Below are 18,517 nucleotides of genomic sequence, written 5' to 3' on the forward strand. Positions count from 1 at the left end.
CCACAAAACTAAAAAAGTGTTAAGTCCCTTTTAGGCTAGATCTATATGTACAATAAGAACGCAATTCCACCCTACCCCTGCTAGGCCAATAATACTTGTGGTCCCAGGAACTTGAATCCAGTATTCAATGAAACAAAATGAAAAGAAGTTGGAGAGGATTCATCCCAATTGTGAGACCAGAAAAGCCTCCCTACTGGTTCCTACTACCACGACTCCTTTAGCAGTTGACCACTCCCTTCTCCTTGAGACACGAATCATTTCTACATCTGTTTGGATTTTCCTTCCATTCTGCAAGCTAACCCACCTCCTACTAATAAATCCCTTTAGCCCAAGTTAGCCAGAGTTGGTTTCTGTTGCTGGCAAGCAGAGTACCCTGACACACCTGCCACTCTCCAAAATGGCAGCTAATAAAATTTACGCTTTTCCAAGTTGGGTCAATTTTCCAAGGTAAATAAAAATAAAGGTTTAGAGACGAATACCATACCAGCAAAACAAAAGCTTAATACTCTAATAACCATCCTTAAATTCTGATTACAAATGTTTCTTTCACTAAGAAATATTTCTAAGGAGAAACATTCTTTTTACCCAATGAAAACATCTATTTATCTTAAATTAATCAAAGAAATGAACATCTTTTTATTTGAGATTAAACATCTTGATAAGAAGTATATGTTGTTATTAACTAGTCACCATGTTGTACAATAGATCTCTTGAATGTATTCTTCCTAACCGAAATTTTCTATCTTTTGCCTGACATCTCCCCACCCACCCCAATCCCTAGCACCTGGCAACTACCATTCTATTCTCTACTTCTATGAGTTCAACTTTTTTCAGATTCCACATATAAGTGAAATCATGTGATATTTGTCTTTCTGTTCCCTGGCTCATTTCGCTTAATATAATGCCTTCCAGGTTCATCCACGTTGTCACAAATGAAAAGTTTCCTTCTTTTTTAGGCTGAATAGTATTCCATTAGTGACTGCTTCTACAGGATGGCAAGGAAGCACACACCTCGTTCAGTATTTCCTATTCTTAAATATTTGCAGAGCTTCTATATTGTTCATTGTGTTGTAGAAAGAGTTAGGAATGACTGGTCTAGATGGTACAGGACAAACTTGTTCGGATGAGCAAAAATCACTAAGCAATACGTGTCAAATCAATCATTATTTTAATAATTGAGGTGAATCTGATCTCTAGAGCATTTGCATTTCATTTCAATGAATACAGATAGCTATCCCCTGGGTACTCATTAGTGATACCAATTCTGAACTCTTCATTTATTGGAGTTCTCTATGTTTAAAATATTTCGGAATTGACATGTCTGCCTCAGTTTCTGTTAACAGTCTGGCATAAACCACTTACATTTGAAATAAAAATTCTAAAAGTTGTAATACCTGCATCAGGTGAAATCACGTTAGTCTCATGGCTTCCTACCCTCCCCACCCTGGAGGCTCACAGATTTGCACATCAGAGCTACAACTTAGCACAGCTCATCAGAGAATGGTACAGGGAGAAATGATCTGGTGTTTCAGGCTTGAGAAAAGAAAACATCTATATGTGGAACATCTCTACACTTTTTGGTGATGTTTGTATAAAGGCTCCTTTGAGTCGTTAAAGTCCAATGAGGCAAGTTTTTCTCTCCTAGTAAGAACATGAGCCCACCTTCAAACCCTCTGAGAACCTCTGTAGGTTCTGAATAGGAAGCTCTCAGCCTGAATCTCTCCTCGGCCCTTTTATTTAACTTTTACCAGGGGTCAGCGGATCTTGGTTCAGCTCTGACCGCAAACTTTGGAATAAACTATAATGGTGACAAATCAAGAAACATTCCTATACTACCGGAGAATGAGACAAGGGCAGACCCCACTTCTTATCACTAGACATGACACATGCCTTGCCATCCCTCATGCTTCACTCCTAGCCTGGTTGCCATAAAGTCTAGAGCTGAGCTCTGCCCTCTGTGGCAGCAGGTGGACTACTTGGAGGCAAGGGCTGGAAAGGATGCTTAGCAGTTGCTCTGCTTTTTTTCTCATTCAAATTAGCTCAACAGAAAGTGATTTTTGAAGATCTGATCCATGTATGAAAAATAACTCCACAAAGGCAAGTAAAAACAAATGTTATCCCATTGGGTTTATATCACTGTAAGAGCAGAACTTTGAGCAGTGAACAGGTCAGAATGCAGAAACTCAGTGGTCACCAAGGACTTCTACCGTGTGCCACATCATTCAGTTTCACAGGCTGTGCCTGCAGACTAACAACATTTACTGGAATTTCCTAAAGAGAGGAATATACAATAGATGAACTTCAATAAATATCTTTAAAATGTCCCTCCCCACCTACATTTTTCAATTCTCTTATATTCAAATCCTATATAAGTTCTATTAGTGTGTGAGAGAACACGTTTCTTCATTACTTAAAATTTTTTGGCCAGGCGCGATGGCTCACACCTGTAATCCCAGCACTTTGGGAGGCCGAGGTGGGCTGATCACCTGAGGTCGGGAGTGCGAGACCAACCTGACCAACATGGAGAAACCCTGTCTCTACTAAAAATACAAAATTAGCTGGGTGTGGTGGCGCATGCCTATAATCCCAGCTACTCAGGAGGCTGAGGCAGGAGACTTGCTTGAATCAGGAGGCGGAGGTTTCGTTGACGGAAGATCATGCCATTGCACTCCAGCCTGGACAACAAGAGCGAAACTCTGTCTCCAAAAAAAAAAAAAAATTCTTAATAAAAATTATATTATCAAAATATTAAAAATAAATTTTAAAAAGGTTGTAAATCACTTTTTTTGTATTTTTATGTGTCATTATATTTTGAAGGCATGTTAACTCTTTCAGGCCAACAGTATACTAGGTGATTGCTTTGTGCTTTACCTGGGAGACAATGTCTGGTCAAAGAATTATGGACTTATGGGTACGAAATTCCAGCTTTGTTTAGCATAGATATCAGCTTTCTGGTTTGATTTTGCAATCTCTATTTTAAATAATAAAATTAGCTTTTACTTTTCTTTGTTTTCTCATTTTTGAGATTAGTTTTATTATTTATTATTATTTTCCTTTTCTGAAATAACCACCATTTTGAAAAATAAATGCGTACTATCTAAAAGGATGGATTCTGGAGAACTACACAGCAGCTTTGCCATCTTGGGCAAAACACTAACCTCTCTGTGACTCAGTTTATGCACGCATAAAATGAGAATAACAGTACCTTCCTCATGAGGATTTTGTGAAAATTACATGAATTAATATGTGTAAAGCATTTAGCTCAGTGCCTGGCACATATTAAGTGCTACTTTAGGGTTTGCTATTGTCACTGTCATAATTCATTCATTCAGGAGTCTTTGAGTTGCCTTTTTTTTCAGGTAATATTAGTGCTTGAAATTGGAGTGTAAATCCACTTTTTCTAAGAGCTTAGAACCAACCAATTTCCTCATATTCCTCCATCACACACACTGGACATATAACATTATTTGCAGGATGAGAATACAGGAAGTGTTTATTAAAGAAAAGGAAATGTGAAAAGAACTGGAACTATGATCATAACATATCTCAACATTCACAACAAAGGTGACCCAAACAAAGAGATTACATGTTCCTGAAGGTAAGACTCAGATGTCTGTTTCCTATGTCAATATGTAATAAGCAAAAGGAATGACAAACTTGGATATAGTCCTAGAGGCTGAGCCAGATGTGACAAACAAGGTTAAGGATGGGGCAGAGCTCACATTCACAACCATGTCACACGTCTAGATGTTTTAAATGTCAACAGGATTTACATATGGTGACACTGCATTTTAGAGAGATAGTGTCAGGAAATAAAGTTAGGTGAAGGAAACGAACAAGCAAAAATTATCAGTATATAAGAGGTCAGGCACAGGTTACCTTCTCAAAGCATAATTAGAAAAGCTAACATAAAATGCACTATCTTTGCCACCTGTAAAAGTAGCATACCTTAAGGGATATTTTGAAAATATATTGTCAAAAATTTCCTAGGAAACACCTCAGTTTTATCAAGGTTACCAAAACCAACTCTATGAGAGGATCAGAGCAATTCAGAGCTTGATACAGGAATTATGACTGACCTAAAAGCAAATGTTAACTGGGACATCTGTGTGTTTAGATGAAATACATATTAATTAGGATTGCATTCAGCTACAAGTAACAGAAACAACTTAATTTTTCTCACAATACAAGAAGTCCCGTCATTATTTCAGGGCTGGCATAGCTGCCTGAAGATATAAAGGAGGACCCAGCTCCCTCTAAAGTTTTGTTCCACCATCATTGGCATGTGGCCATTATCCTCAAGGTCACAAGATGGTTGTATCATCTCCGAGCTAGAATAGGCAAGGTTAGGGCAAAAAGTGCGTGCCTGCTGAGTCTTTTATAAAATATTCTTTATCAGTTTTATCAAGAGTCTTCCCAAAGACTCTGACTGGGTGCAGTGGCTCATGCCTGTTATCCTAGCATTTTGGGAGGCCAAGGCAGGTGGACCATCTGAGGTCAACAGTTCAAGACCAGCCTGGCCAACACGGCAAAACCCTGTCTCTAGTAAAAACACAAAAATTACCTGGTCTAGTGGTGTGCACCTGTAGTCCCAGCTATTCAGAAGGCTGCGGCACGAGAATCGCCTGAACCCAGGAGGTGGAGGTTACAGTGAGCCGAAAAGGTGTCACTGCACTCCAGCCTGGGCGACACTGAGACTCTGCCTCAATAATAATAATAAAAAGAACCTTCCCAAAGACCCTAATCAACAGATTTTCACTTCATATCGCTGAATTATACCGCCAATAAATGGCAGAGCAAGATATGAACACGGGTCTATCTTCAGCATCCAGTTAAAAAATACTCACCTCCATGGCTCCCTTGCAGCTCCATGTAATTCAGCGATATGAAGAAATTCTATGGGAGGACCACAGCAATTCAGAGCTTGATACAAGAATTATGACCGACCTAAATAGTTGATAATAAATGTACTGATTTGTTTTCATATTACTATCAGTAAGAAGAGAAAAAAGGTGTAGAGATGGCAATGGGGGAAACCTGAAGGGAAGAAAGTGAAAGAATTTAAAAAGAAAAAGAACAAAGTGGTGAAGCAGAAAGGAGAAAGGAAGAGGAGAGGGAAAGCAAGGACCATGGCATGGAGTCAAAGGAAGCAAAGGAGGAAAGACAAAGATAAAATTTAGAGAGAGGAAGAGAAGATGAGATACAGTGGGAAGGAGATGGGAAAGGCAGAGAGAGAGGACTAAGGTGACCTTAGTCCTTATGGTCTACTGTCACTCCTTTTCAGGTCACTTGGTTTGTGGGCACCAGTGGACATCAATAATCGGTGCTATCTATAACATGTCACCTTTCCTATCATGTAAGAGTATTTTAATCAATAATTTTCTTTTTAAACTGGGTCTCACTTCGTTGCTCAGGCTGGTCTTGAAATCCTGGGCTCAAGTGATCCTCCTGTCTCAGTCTCCAAAGTAGCTAGGATCACAAGCATATGCCACTGTGCCTAGCTATAATAAAATTTTATTTTGTTTTCAACATAAAGTTTTATTTTGTTAAGGAAAGCTAATTCAGCATTAAAGGATAACCTGCATTTTAAACATTTACTTTGAAAACTCAGAACGCTTGTAACTATTTCTTAGTGGGATTCAATGCTATCTAATTATCTTAGCTTTGTTTTTTATTTTGAGTGATTTAGGGCTGCCTTATACCACAAATCAACATTTCTACATTTGTACTGATCCCCCTGCCACACACACATCCTCAAATACATTTGCTATAATTGGTTCTTAGAGAGGATAGAATAAAAAAGAAAAAAATAGGTATAGTTTTAGAGAAGCACACATTTTAAAAATAATTGGCTAACCTATAGGCACAGCATTCAACCCTTCAGAAGCTCTGCCTTCAATGAGATGGGCATGGCAGGTGACTGTGGTGAAAATTACTTTCTGAGCCACATAACTGACACCAAAGTGAGATCATGTCATTTCATGCGGAATGTCCTAAGAGCCAATAATTTTTTAAAGCTACACAATTCCTGCGTTTGAACAGTCATTATGAGATATTCATATTTGAAAATTCAATTCGAGTATCTGAAATAGGGCTTTTAAAACGCTTTTGCTTAAAGTTGATGAGACTGAAATGCTATAGAGTTCAGTTATTTTTAAAATGACTCTAAAATCAGGTAAAGAGGGTGGATTAATCACCCCAATGTTTTTGAAATGAAAATACTTAGATAAGTCAATTTGCCTTTTAACGTGTATTAAGTCATTACTCAGGCATAGCCTAAACCACCTCTCTCTGTCCACAGTGAACCTGCCCATTCCAACCTAATGCACTCCACCTTCCTTTTTTTCCGGAGTGTAGTGCTATCCAGTTTTTCTATTTCTATGTGACACAAAGAACTTCATATTTCTGTGTGTGTGTGTGTGTGTGTGTGTGTGTGTGTATGTCTTTTAAAATGTAAATGTTCAAAAAGTACTGGTCACTCAATTTATTTATGCTTTTCAAATGTAAAGGTTATTTGAAATAAAGGGGTCATTGCATCAGCAACTATTTATGAAGATTAAAGATATAACATAAGTTTCAAACTAGCACTTGAAGTGATCAGAAAAACAATTATGGCTTAATATGCAACCAATCTTAAATAATTGATGGAGTAAGGCTTCTAGTTTATTCTATAAAGTTGACCAATTCCCAGGAGGTAAAAAAAAAAAAAAATCAAAGACAGATTTTTAGATATTTTCTTTTGAATAAAACTAATCCATAAAAATTTGAAAGTCAAAAATGCTGACTTTAAAATCTTGGTAAAATATCACTCTTTTTAAAGATGGAAAGTCAAATTTACTGGAATAAAACAGTTCTGTAAAAACTATATTCATATTATTACAACGATACAACATTACCATTTTATTAACATTTTCAATGCAAATAAAACTAATAGTTTAAAACAAAGATTCACACAAATTGGAAGGAAATATAATTAAATAACTCCTAGTAATGTAGGAATGAATGAAGTAGGAATTTCTGCCAAAATGAAATATTTTGAACTATAATTGTAAAGACTTGATTTTAGTTTAAAATTGGAATTGAAACTCACAGTGAATATAAATTACAGGAAGCAAGATTTATGATTTAAGAAACAATCTCAACCACATCAGTAAAATATGTATGAAATAAATTGTAGAGAGTAAGATAAATATGTAACAAATAGAGCAAAATGCTCTAAAATGCCCAATTTTCATAGTCCTATATAAGCAGGACGCAGCTTCAGTTCACTTATAAATTGCATTTGACAAATGATTTTGAAAGTTTAAATACACTGATTCCAGAATCAGACATATGAAGGATAAATAACCGATCACCTGATCAGCAATGCAGTTACTTTAGTAATGGCAAATTACTTTATTTCAAATAATAAAATCATTCCTTTGAAAGGAATTAAATCTGGAATATATTTCCAAAAATTACGTCTGACATAAATATCATCTGGTATTTGAAAGGTCATTAAATTGCACTTCCTTTGAACAAGAATTTTTAAATAGCAACCAGTTAATTTCAGAACACGTGTGCCTTTAACAGTAATACTGGAAATTGTCAAAATAAAGTGCCCTCAATACTCTATCCTGATTATACCTTTCTTTTAAGTAAATGTTTAGTTTTAGGAATAGAACATTGATTTTCCTGTCTGTCTCACAGTATAATTTTTTTTTAAAGTGGGAGTAGATATACAGCATGAAAAAATTACCAATAGTGATGCCGGACTTACAAAATACAGTAAAATCCCCCTTTTAAAACATCATGCCACATCACCAATTCAATTCTACTCAAGGCCAAATTTTTTTCTCTCAGTTGATATTTTAGAGCATACTTCTCATTGTTAATGGAACACTTCCCCCATCTTATGCTACCATAGTAACAGAAATTCTAGTCCATTCAGAAATTTAGGTACATTGTCTCACCAAAGCTCAAGTATTTTGGGTAGACTCATTTACTTAACGCTTGTCTTTCATGCACAATGTCTTCTTCTAATGGCTGACCTCTCCTTTTTGATGGGGACTGAATAAAGCCAACCTTGTGAGGGGCAGTTCCTTACTGACATGATTTCAGGGGCATCCAAGTCTTTCTATCCCCATATCTATTATCTGGCTGTTCAGTGATGCTAAACTTACTTTAAGCAAAGAGGGGAAAGACATCTTTCTACAATTACAATAAAAAATGTGGGAAAGTTTAACACTGACAAGTCACATTCACCATAAATTGATTGGGGGCAAGGCGAGGAGTGGCAAACAAAATGGATGGTAGATACCTGATGGCTGGGGGTGAGGAAAAGGAACGACCATGGGTGAGGAAAGGTGCAGACTTCAATCCAACCATCACACTTTTCACAATACTGCCTTTGTCCCTAGGAGAAGGTGTGCTGATTACGGGGCATGGCTGGAAAACAGAAATGGCTACCTGACTAAACCATGTAGGTTCTTGTTTCCTATTTCCCCATCATTTGCAACTTTCTACCACACAAAACAAAACAAAACAAAAAATTCCAGGTTTGGTGCCCGAAACGCACATTGCGGAAACTGACCATGTCTTAGGATTTGTGCAAAAAAAAAGGAAATTCTAGGAAAAAAAAAATGTTCTGACCCTGAGACCTTTCTAATTCAACATGATGTATAGAGACCTCCTTTCGCTGAGCTTCTACATTGTGGTATACTCATGGTTCATTGTGACTAATAATGCCCTTTCAAAAGAGTCAGAGATAACATAATTTAAAAGATATATGAAGATGAGAAAGAGATACCAAATGACATTTAATTGAGAGATGAGAACACACCAGATGTAACCATGCACTATTTATAGAGTTGCCAGTACTGAAAATAGATGGATATACTACTTAATGTAAAAATCTGTGACAATTCTGTTAGACTCGAAAGCTCCAGATTTTTTAGTACTATATATTTTTTATTTTTGTTAAAGATATTCCATAGATATATTTAAATACGACACATACAGGGACCTATAATTGTGAACCACTTTTATTCTAGACTGGCAATTGCTGCCCCATTTTACATTCTGAGCTCTGCCACACACCCCAGTGTCAGAGGGCAGCTGACTGATCTACAGAAATGTTCTATGTTAGGTGCTATTGTGCACACCACCTCTATCTCAATGCATTCTTTTAGGTAAAAAAAAAAAAAAAAAAAAAAAGTCACAACTATCAGCTCTACACCTAAACATGGTTCATTCAAATGGTGACTTCAATGTAAATCATAAATGTGACTGATTTTTTCTGATATAACTGTTACACTTTAAAGATCCAGAAGGTTAGAAATAAAGTCTCAAGCTAACATTTTACACATTTCTTGTAAGTTTAAGAAGACTTCTTGGGCAAAAGACCTTTCATTTTGGTCACATATCAAAATGGGCCAACCACAAAAGTACATGAGATTAAGTTTTCCTATTGGCAGTTCAATTCTAACAGAAGCTGTGTGTGTGTGTGTGTGTGTGTGTGTGTGTGTGTGTGTGTGTCTGAATTTTTTAAATTAATTTTCAAAAGCCTAAAAGGAAAAGAGACATACATAAGCATCACTTCATTTTTAAACATGTATTCTACCTGTAGAACATTTTACAAAAAAAAAAAAAAAAACTCTTACTTTAAGGCCTATAGCTACAGCTAGTTCCAAAATCTAAATGTTTAATAAAATAGATAACAGAAATTTAAAATCTGACACAATTCTCAAAGCTTATAATAATTTGACCTTTCATAACTTACATAATACAATTTCTCTACCTTTTCTGGTGGTGGAAAAGAGGTGGAAATTGAGATTCTCCTCCGCAATGTCCAACTTGAAGTATTTACACTTTATTTCTACTCTATGTTATCCATTCCTTTTCAGACTTAGATATGTGATTATGGTGAGTCTTAAGGTGACTTGCATTTGCTATTCAAGGGTGCAAGGGAGCAAAACCAAAGGGTGTATGATATTTTGGTGTTTTTAGTTAAGTTTTCAATATCGAGACCTTCCAAAGGATGTGGAAAACAGAAAAAATAATAATAAAGCTTTGTATCATCACATGGTCTTCCATCATAACCTGACAGTCACGCCTTTGAGACCAGCCTCACTCACTTACCCACCGTTCTCACTGAGAGATCATACCGGGCAAGAACTTTTGCTAAGAGTCGCACGGAGCAGCAGGCTGTCAATCAGGCTTTGGGTTAGGTCTGGTTGCCATCACAGTAGCTGCTCCTTCCACTTAAAGATTCTCATTATCTCAGAAAAGCACTAGATTGTTCTTGGGAAGAGGGCGTAGTAAGCACTTTTATCTAAAAAGGGACTAGTTACAGAACATTAATTTTCCAAAATTATTTCTAAAATTCCACCAAATTAAACTTCTGCTTTACAGACAAGGCTGCCACCATGCCACAAGGAAGTTGTAAAAGCACTGTTTAAAACCTCTAGGAGACGTTTATTTAGGCTAAATATTTTATAATAGATATCAAGGTTTTTTTAAAAACAGAAAAATCTTAAGGATTCTTACAATTTTTAAATGCTTGTCTATCTTAAGTGCTAGCACCCCGTAGATTATCTCCCGCCATGCCAATGATTGTTAGCCTATTAGAGATAGAAACTATTAACAGGAGCCTACTGGACAATGGTTTCTATTTGGTTGGGTATAAATATTTTGGGGTTGAAATTCTAATTAAATAGTGCCTGTCGCTGCTTAAAAGCTCTATAGGCATGAAATGTTCAGAAGTCCCAGAAGAAATACAGAAAAGAGACATTTTTTATTTTTCCACATACTCGATGTACTAGCTTAAAATACATGTACTACATAATATTATATTTCTTGGAGCTAAATTTTATTTCTTCTGTAATGTTTATTTTTGATGCAGGGCTGCATAATGATTCCATTTTTAAGATACCTCTAAATTATAAGGGATTCCAGCCTCTACCTGGAAATTAAAGCTGTGCAGATAAAATACAAAGTCATTAATAAACATCACAAAGATAATTCTAACAAGAAGCACCATGTAAAAGTAAGGCAGGAATCAGAAAAATCATCAATTACTGACATATTAAATCACACTTTCAAAAGAATAGGGAGCTGGAAGCAGCCGCTCCCTTTCAGGAGGGCTGTATGACACTGAATGAAATGCCAGGGACTCCTGGCTGGTGAGCAGCGGGAACTTTGCGGTCGAGCGGCGCGGGGCAGCCACAGACCTGGGCGCTTCAATCTGTCACCAGCCTGCCCGCAAAGCCCAGCGACAGCCCCCAACGCCCCCCCGGGGACCCATCTGGGGGGACCGGGAGCAGGACAAAGGTCTGAAATCCAAGTCCTAGGAGTAAAGAAACAAAATGCGCAGGTTCAATTTAAAGTGCCTGCGGTAAGTACGGGGAGTGAGGGGGAAAGACACCGGCCTCCAAGAATTCTCAGGCGTTTAGCACAAGCACCAGCTCATTACCAGGAGATGCGTTCGGGGAGTGGGGACATGGAGAATGAATCCCAACTTGTGACTCCATTCTCCACTAACTTTATTCTCGCTCCCTGGACCAAGCGCATCGCTGGGGCCAGGGTTGTCATGGTTCTTGTTTCCAAGGCCCCTTGGAAGAAGGAAAGGGATGAGAAAGGTGCGCTGGCGGGCGCACCCGGCGGCGGCGAGCGCGGAGGTGCTGCGGTACCTACCATGGTATTCTTGTCCCGGAACGTAGTAGGTGGGGTTGCCCGCAATATGCAGGGAAATGAGCACCTCGCCCTGCTCCCCATCCCCTTCCAGCTCCCCGTGGTGGGTGCACAGGAAAAAGAAGGGCGAAAAGCGGGGGTAATAGCCAGCCGCCGCGCGCGCCCTCAGCGTCGCCCCCAGCAACAGCGCTAGGAGGAAAGTCTGCCGGGCCCAGCCACTGCGCTCCATGCCGCCGCCGCCGCCGCCGCCGCCGCGCGCCCTACGCGCCGCTCGCTCATTCAGTTTTGGAGACGCCGGGACGGAGGAGCCACGCGGAGAGAAGGCGAGAAGAAGGCGGACGGGAGCGGAACGGGCTCGGGAGCGGGCCTGGGAGCGGGCCCCCGCCGAGAAGTTCCGCGGGAGACGGCGGCTCCCAAAGTTACTTTGGGCCGCGGGAGCGCGGGACCGGGGCTGCGGGCGCCGAGAGCGCGTCGTCTGCCGCCTCCGTGCGCCGCCGCCGCCTCTGCGCGACGCCCCTCGGCCAGGCCTGGGAAAGCGCCCGCCCCGCTCCACACCTTCTTAAAGCCCCGGGCGCCGCGTCCCCCCCGCCGCCGCCACACGTGTCCCGGCCGCTCCCCCGCCCCCGCGCGCCGCCCCGCCCGCCCCCCGCCCTCTCGGGCTGGCTCGGCGGCACCTCGCGCGGCGAGGGGCGCACGCGTCCCCGGAGTCCCCGGCCAGCGCCCGGTTCGCACCCGGGAGGACAGGGAGGGGCGCCCGCCGGGGAGCGGGACGGGGACGCTGTCGAGGACCGCTGAGCCCGCGACTCTTCTGCGAGGGACGTCAAAGCCCCGCAGAGGGCACCTCCCGTCCAGCTGTCTGAAGGGGAAGGCCAGCCCCTTTGGCCGTCAGTGTGCCCTGTTTTTCCTGGGAGGATGCGTGAGGGAAGGAGAGGGGCGGCAGGGACGGCCGCTGGCGCCGGTTTCTTTGTCTGAGCCGGCTGCGTCCCGCGCCCCTCGGGGCTCGCAGTCTGCCAGTCCGGGCGGCCCGCACTCGTTCTGGGAATCCGCCCGAGGCCGCGAACCGCTAGGGGCCCTCGCGCTCCCTTCCCACCCAGGCCCCCTGTCCCTCCCGCCGCGGCCGCCCGGCCCCTCGCGGCAGCGACAGAGCCTCATCTGTAGAGGATTTTAAAATGAGATTAAGCGAAAGTGGAATTGGCAGACTCGAGTGGTGCCTGGAAATGGTGATTTGTGCTGCTCGGTTGTGGGGAATTGTAAGGCAGGAAGGGCTGGCGGAGCTAAGATCCGACAGGCTCTCTTCGCCGGACTGTTCTGTTATTCATTGCTTCTGGGCTCTTCAGGCAGAGATGGGTGTTGTAATTTTTTAAATCAGTGTTTATTTCCTTTAAATGTCGGTTATGACCAATGGCCCTGAAATCGGGGGAGGGAAAAACGTTCAGGGGAGATGCTGGCAGCGGTGATTGAAGCGGGTGGTAATGAGCGGCTGCACATGAACTGCAGGGAAGTGAAATAATCCATAAGCACGTTTTTAACCGAGGACGGCTGGCAGGAGCCCTGCGGCATCCGGAGATGGGGGAGCGGGGTTGCCAGGTTTTAATGCCTCTCCCCACCCACCCTTGGCTTGCCACCAAGCCAGATAAACCCGCACGTACAGAAATGAGTAGATTATAAAATTGGAAGGGATAGTGCCTTTGCCTGCATTTGTGGGGCGAGGGGCGGTGAAAATCAGGGTCCAAGGGGAGACCTCTGTAATCACTTCGTTGCAAAAGGAAGAAATTGTTTTTCTTCCTCTTACTGAGACCGAATGACAGGTAGAAAGGGCCCATTTCTAGCTGGCTTCTTGTTTCCCTTACTTCAAAATCCCCAGAGGCTTAACTGCCATATAAATAATATACAGTGTATACATATATGTATGTGCATATATATATATATGATGTGGTAACAATTGCTACACTGTAGCTCTGCGGGGTGCAGGCTGTGGGGCTAGACGTACTTTAGCTTTTTAATCCTAACACCAACTGGAGAGGCAAAAAATATCCCTATTTCACAAGGGAGGAGGCACTCAGAAATGTTGATAACTTGCCCAAAGTCAGTGACAAAGGCTGGATGCAGGGCAGACTGGCTGGCCTCAGAGGCTCTTGTCCTGCACTGCCCTGCCACAGTCGACAGCCCTAGCTGGAGCAGGTGGTGTTGCCCCAAACAGAATTAGGAGATACTCGCCCACAGCTAACAAGGCTGTTACTGCCTTCCTGTCCAGTCATGTGAATATAGCCAAAGACAAAATTAATCACTTGTAGAAAGAATCCAAAACTATTTAATGTTTTTGGCTTACACTTTTAAAATGTTTAGTTACTATGCACTGAGCACCGTCCTAAGTACTATACATACTAACTCCCTTATTCCTCATAACAATACTGTGGGAAAAGTACCATTGATAGCTTCATTTTACTATGATGAAACAGCACAGGGAGGTTAAGTAACTTGTCCAAGGTCACACAGCTAGTGAGTGCTGTGACTTGAACCCAGGCAGTCTGATTTTGACACACTAACCACTGCAAATCGCCTCTAAAGAATGCATGTTGGTGTTGTTAGAGGGATGGGGGAATAATTATTCTTCATCCAGTGTCAGAATACCTCATTTAATCCTTATATTAGCCTGCAAAGTAGGTATAATTATCTTCATTTTTAAAGAGAAGAAAGTTGAGATTCATAGAAGTTAAAGGAGCTTGGGATCAAGTCTGGCCATGCTTGATGCCAAGGTCGCTGCTTAAATAAACTGTCTTTAGTAAGCGCTGACACTTGGTCCAGGACATGATTGGAATTTAATTCATATAAGGTCCTCAATTCCCAGGAAGTCCCCTTCTTTCCATTGTGTAGTGCACTCTCAGAGAAATATTCTTTCTCGTATCTCTCGACATGGCTTTCTTAACATTCAATTTATGTGACCAAGTTTATTTTTCAATCTTCCCCTTTATTGTGCTTCCTTAATTTTTACCACTTTGCTTTGCTATTACATTTGAATAACTTTTATACTGTTAGCCATGAAGCAAGCTCATATTTCTGGCTACAGCCCTGCAGTTGTTCAGTAACAGACACAAAGACTGTTTTTAAATAATGTCCTGAGTGGTGTTGAGCTGGTCAAGAGGGGAGTAAAAGTTGGTACACTCCAGTCTGCAGTCCTTAGAACTAACATGAATACCTTGTAGAGGCTCAAGTTCATATTTGTTTCATCTCTGACACTTTTTTTGATTAGGCCAGTTCAACTAGTCATTAAAAACTTTTAAATAACCTTTAGAAAATCAGAAAAATACATAAATCATATATAAAATCCATTGAACCGAGAGTAGCATCTTCTTAGTGAGCAACTTACTTGAAATCACGCAATAAGGTGGAAACCCAGGTTAGATAGCAAAACTTCCTGTTTCCCAATTCGTGTGCTAACCCTTACACCTCGTTTCTATTTAGTGAGCCATAATAAGTATCTCCAAGAATATTGGGTCTGCAAAATCCAAAAACCTTCCGAACTAATAGAAAAATAGAGAAGTGCTTTTCCAGAAAAAATGGTTTACATCAAAAACATCTGCAAAAAATAAAAGGTGATGTCAGGTGAAAATGAATAGGCTTGTGGGAAAGGGAGTTTAAAATGGAATGAGATTTATTTTTAATTAAAAGAGTTTTGAAATAGTAATTAGTCTACCAAAAGAATTAAACTAAGTATTCTTAGAAGATAAATCCACTTCTTCTTGATAAGTGGAAATTATTGCCCAGTATTTGAATAATCATAACACGATGGGAATTAAATTCATATATATATATATATTTGCTATGTGTGTGTATATATATATATATATATATCTGCTATATCTCTCTATATATACATGTATATATATACATATATCAGATACATAGCTTTTAAATTATTGGGAGGTGATTCATCCATATGAAATACAAAGAAGACATTAAATTATATTTTAAGGTTGCAAGAATTCACTCATCTGCCTTCCATTGATATTTTTTGAGATGAAGCATTAAACATTTTGGTATATGTGGGAAAGTGAGTCACTATTCTTATTTACCATGTAAAAATCAAACAAAGTTTATAAAATCAAAAAATATGTAAATATAAATATGAAGAGGGTGAACAAACTGAAATCAGTTGACTTATTAGACTCTAAAATGGTAATAAAAGGCCACATGAGAGCAAACCCAATAGCAGCTAATAAACTTATAAAATCTATTACTCATAAGACATGGTACTGTATGATAAAATTGAGGCTCCTAAGCAAAAAACAAAAATCAAAAAAAAAAACACACAAAAATAGACCCTAAAGATCAGTAAGCCTTTTGCAAATGAAATTGCACTGAGAAAGGTGGGATATTAGGGAGTTGGCTCTGTTACGTACGTCCTGCCGGAACATGTTACTTATTGCCACCCCAGATTGAAATACCATGATGAGATAAACTATGGGACAACACAAAGTCATTATATTGTAAGATTTCTGAAACAGAATCTGATTCCTCAACACTAAAAATCCCTTTTTTTAAAGTTTCTCCACTTCCTGGGATTTTCCCTGCCCCTGCTTCTCTCTGGAATGCCCTTCCTGTTTCCTGTGGCCTAACCACACATCTTCCACCCTCCTCTCCCTCACCTCACTTCTTACTTGGCTATAGCAACTCATGCTCCAAGTCTTCTCTCACACATTTTTGCATCTGAGAGATCTTTCCTGATCCCTCATCCTAAATTATGTCCTCTAGACCAGCACTATCCGATATAGTGTCCTAGTCCCCAGGTAGCTATTTAAATTCAAATCAAATTAAATTTAAAAATAAGTTCTTCAGTCACATTAACCACATTTCCAGTATCCAATAGCTAAGGGTGGCTAGTAATGGGATAATCTGTAAGGCTGCACTGTCTGTACTGGACAGTAAGTGCAGACTTACAGATTATCCCATTACTGCAGAAAGTCCTATTAGACAGCACTGTTCTACATTGAAAATGTGAATGAATGCCCAGTCACCAACACATTCATTCAATCAGTATTTATCAGACACCTCCTATGTGCCAAACTGCTGGATGCAGTGGACTCAGTGAATAAAGCTAATACAGTGCCCACCCGTTTGGCATCTACAATCTAGTGCTGGGGACAGACAGTAAACTCATACAATAAACAAGATTATTTCTGACACTGGTAAATGCTATGAAGAAATAAAACCAGATGATGTGGTAGAGAGTGTCTAGGGCAGGGAGGCTACTGTAGATTGGAGAGTCAGGGAAAGCTTCTCTGAAAGAGTGTAATTGGAGCTAACACTTCATTAATACGGAAGAGTCCATCATGTTAACATGTGGGGGAAAGAGCAGTTCAGCTGGAGAGATCAGATAATATAAAGGCCCTGAAGCAGGGCTATGCTTGAGATGTCCAAGGCTTAGGAAAGATAGCAAGAAAAGGGAAGAGTGAGGCTGGGCACAGTGGCTCATGCCTGTAATCCCAGCACTTTGGGAGGCTGAGGCAGGAGGATCACTTGAGGCCAGGAGTCTGAGGCTGGCCTGAGAAACATAGCGAGACCCTATTTCTACAAAAGATTTTAAAATTAGCCAGGCATGGGGGTGCATGCTTGTAGTCCCAGCTACTTGGGAGGCTGAAGTAGGAGGATTGCCTGAGCCCAGGAGTTCAAGGTTGCAGTGAACTATGATTGCATCACTGTATTCCAGCCTGGGCAACAGAGTGAGACCCTGTCTCTAAAAAATCACCATCGTCATAAAGTAAGTAAAATGAAAGAAAAGGAAAGAGTGGTATGGGTACGAGATGAGGTCAGAGAAGCAGGCAGAGACTAGATCACATTAATGTGCTGGGGAGACTTGGGTCAGGAAGTAACATGATCTGAATGAATAATTAAAGGAAAGAGTTGAAGAATGCCAAAATAAGTTGAAGAAACATTTTCTAATACTTTTTCTCCAGGGTTTAAATAATATCCAACACAATATTTTAATGTTATTGTCTACAGCACAGTATTACAGTAAAGCAAGTACATTCACTAGGCACTAGCATGGACAGTGCTACAGTGAAGATTTTCTTTTCTTTTTTCTTATTCCTGAAAACAATGGTGAAGCATGGAAGGGATTTTAAGCAGAGACATACCATGGTCCTATTTGTACGTTTGGAAGATCAAGGGGAGAGTGGATTGGAGAGCCATGAAAAGTAGATTCAGGGAGAGAATTAGGATGTAGAGCAAGTATCTCAGGTGAGAGGTGATGGTCTTCAAAGGAGATGGAGAGAAGAGAGTAGAACTGAGACGTATTGAGGAGCCAGAACTACAGGATTGAGTAACAGATAGAGTGACTGACTGGGCATAGGGATAAAGGGAGAGAGATGTGTTGAAGAGGATGCACAACTTTCAGGCTTTCGCAGCTTGGTAATTGTTGCTGTTAGATAAACTGTTAGATAAACTATTAGATAAAAAGTATTTTTTATTAAGTAAACTTTTTAATGAAGTATAGTAATAGGCACAAAACCATGAACAAATAATAAGTGTAGTGTGCAATGCAGTGTCAAAAATGGAACACCTCATGTAAGCAGTGTCCAAAGAATATAAACAGAAGTCTCCATGACCACTTTGATTGAGCAATCATATTCCTCAAGGCATGGAGAAAGTTTCAAGGAGAAACATAACATGTCTTCAGGATGGTTATTTTTGCCTGTTTCCAAACTTTATGTAAGTGGAATCATACAATATATGTGATTTTATATCTGGTTTCTTTGGCTCAATATCATGGTTATAAGAATTATTCCAGTTGCTATAGGTTGCAAAAATTTGTTCATTTGTATCTTGTAGAGTATATGGGGGGGAAAAT

The 18,517-nt window shown here is 40.3% G+C and overlaps 1 protein-coding gene across 2 annotated transcripts in view; it reads right to left on the reverse strand.

Annotated features, from left to right (window-relative positions):
* The window catches only part of RELN (reelin), a 517,870-nt gene extending 505,669 nt beyond the window's left edge, over positions 1-12,201 (reverse strand). For both annotated transcript variants that reach the window (NM_173054.3, NM_005045.4), the window contains exon 1: positions 11,674-12,201. In NM_173054.3, the coding sequence (NP_774959.1) occupies positions 11,674-11,899 (226 nt within the window). In that variant the 5' untranslated portion in view covers positions 11,900-12,201. The remainder of the gene's footprint in view (positions 1-11,673) is intronic.

The sequence above is a fragment of the Homo sapiens genome, chromosome 7 (assembly GCF_000001405.40).
Source record: "Homo sapiens chromosome 7, GRCh38.p14 Primary Assembly".
Lineage (NCBI taxonomy): Eukaryota > Metazoa > Chordata > Mammalia > Primates > Hominidae > Homo > Homo sapiens.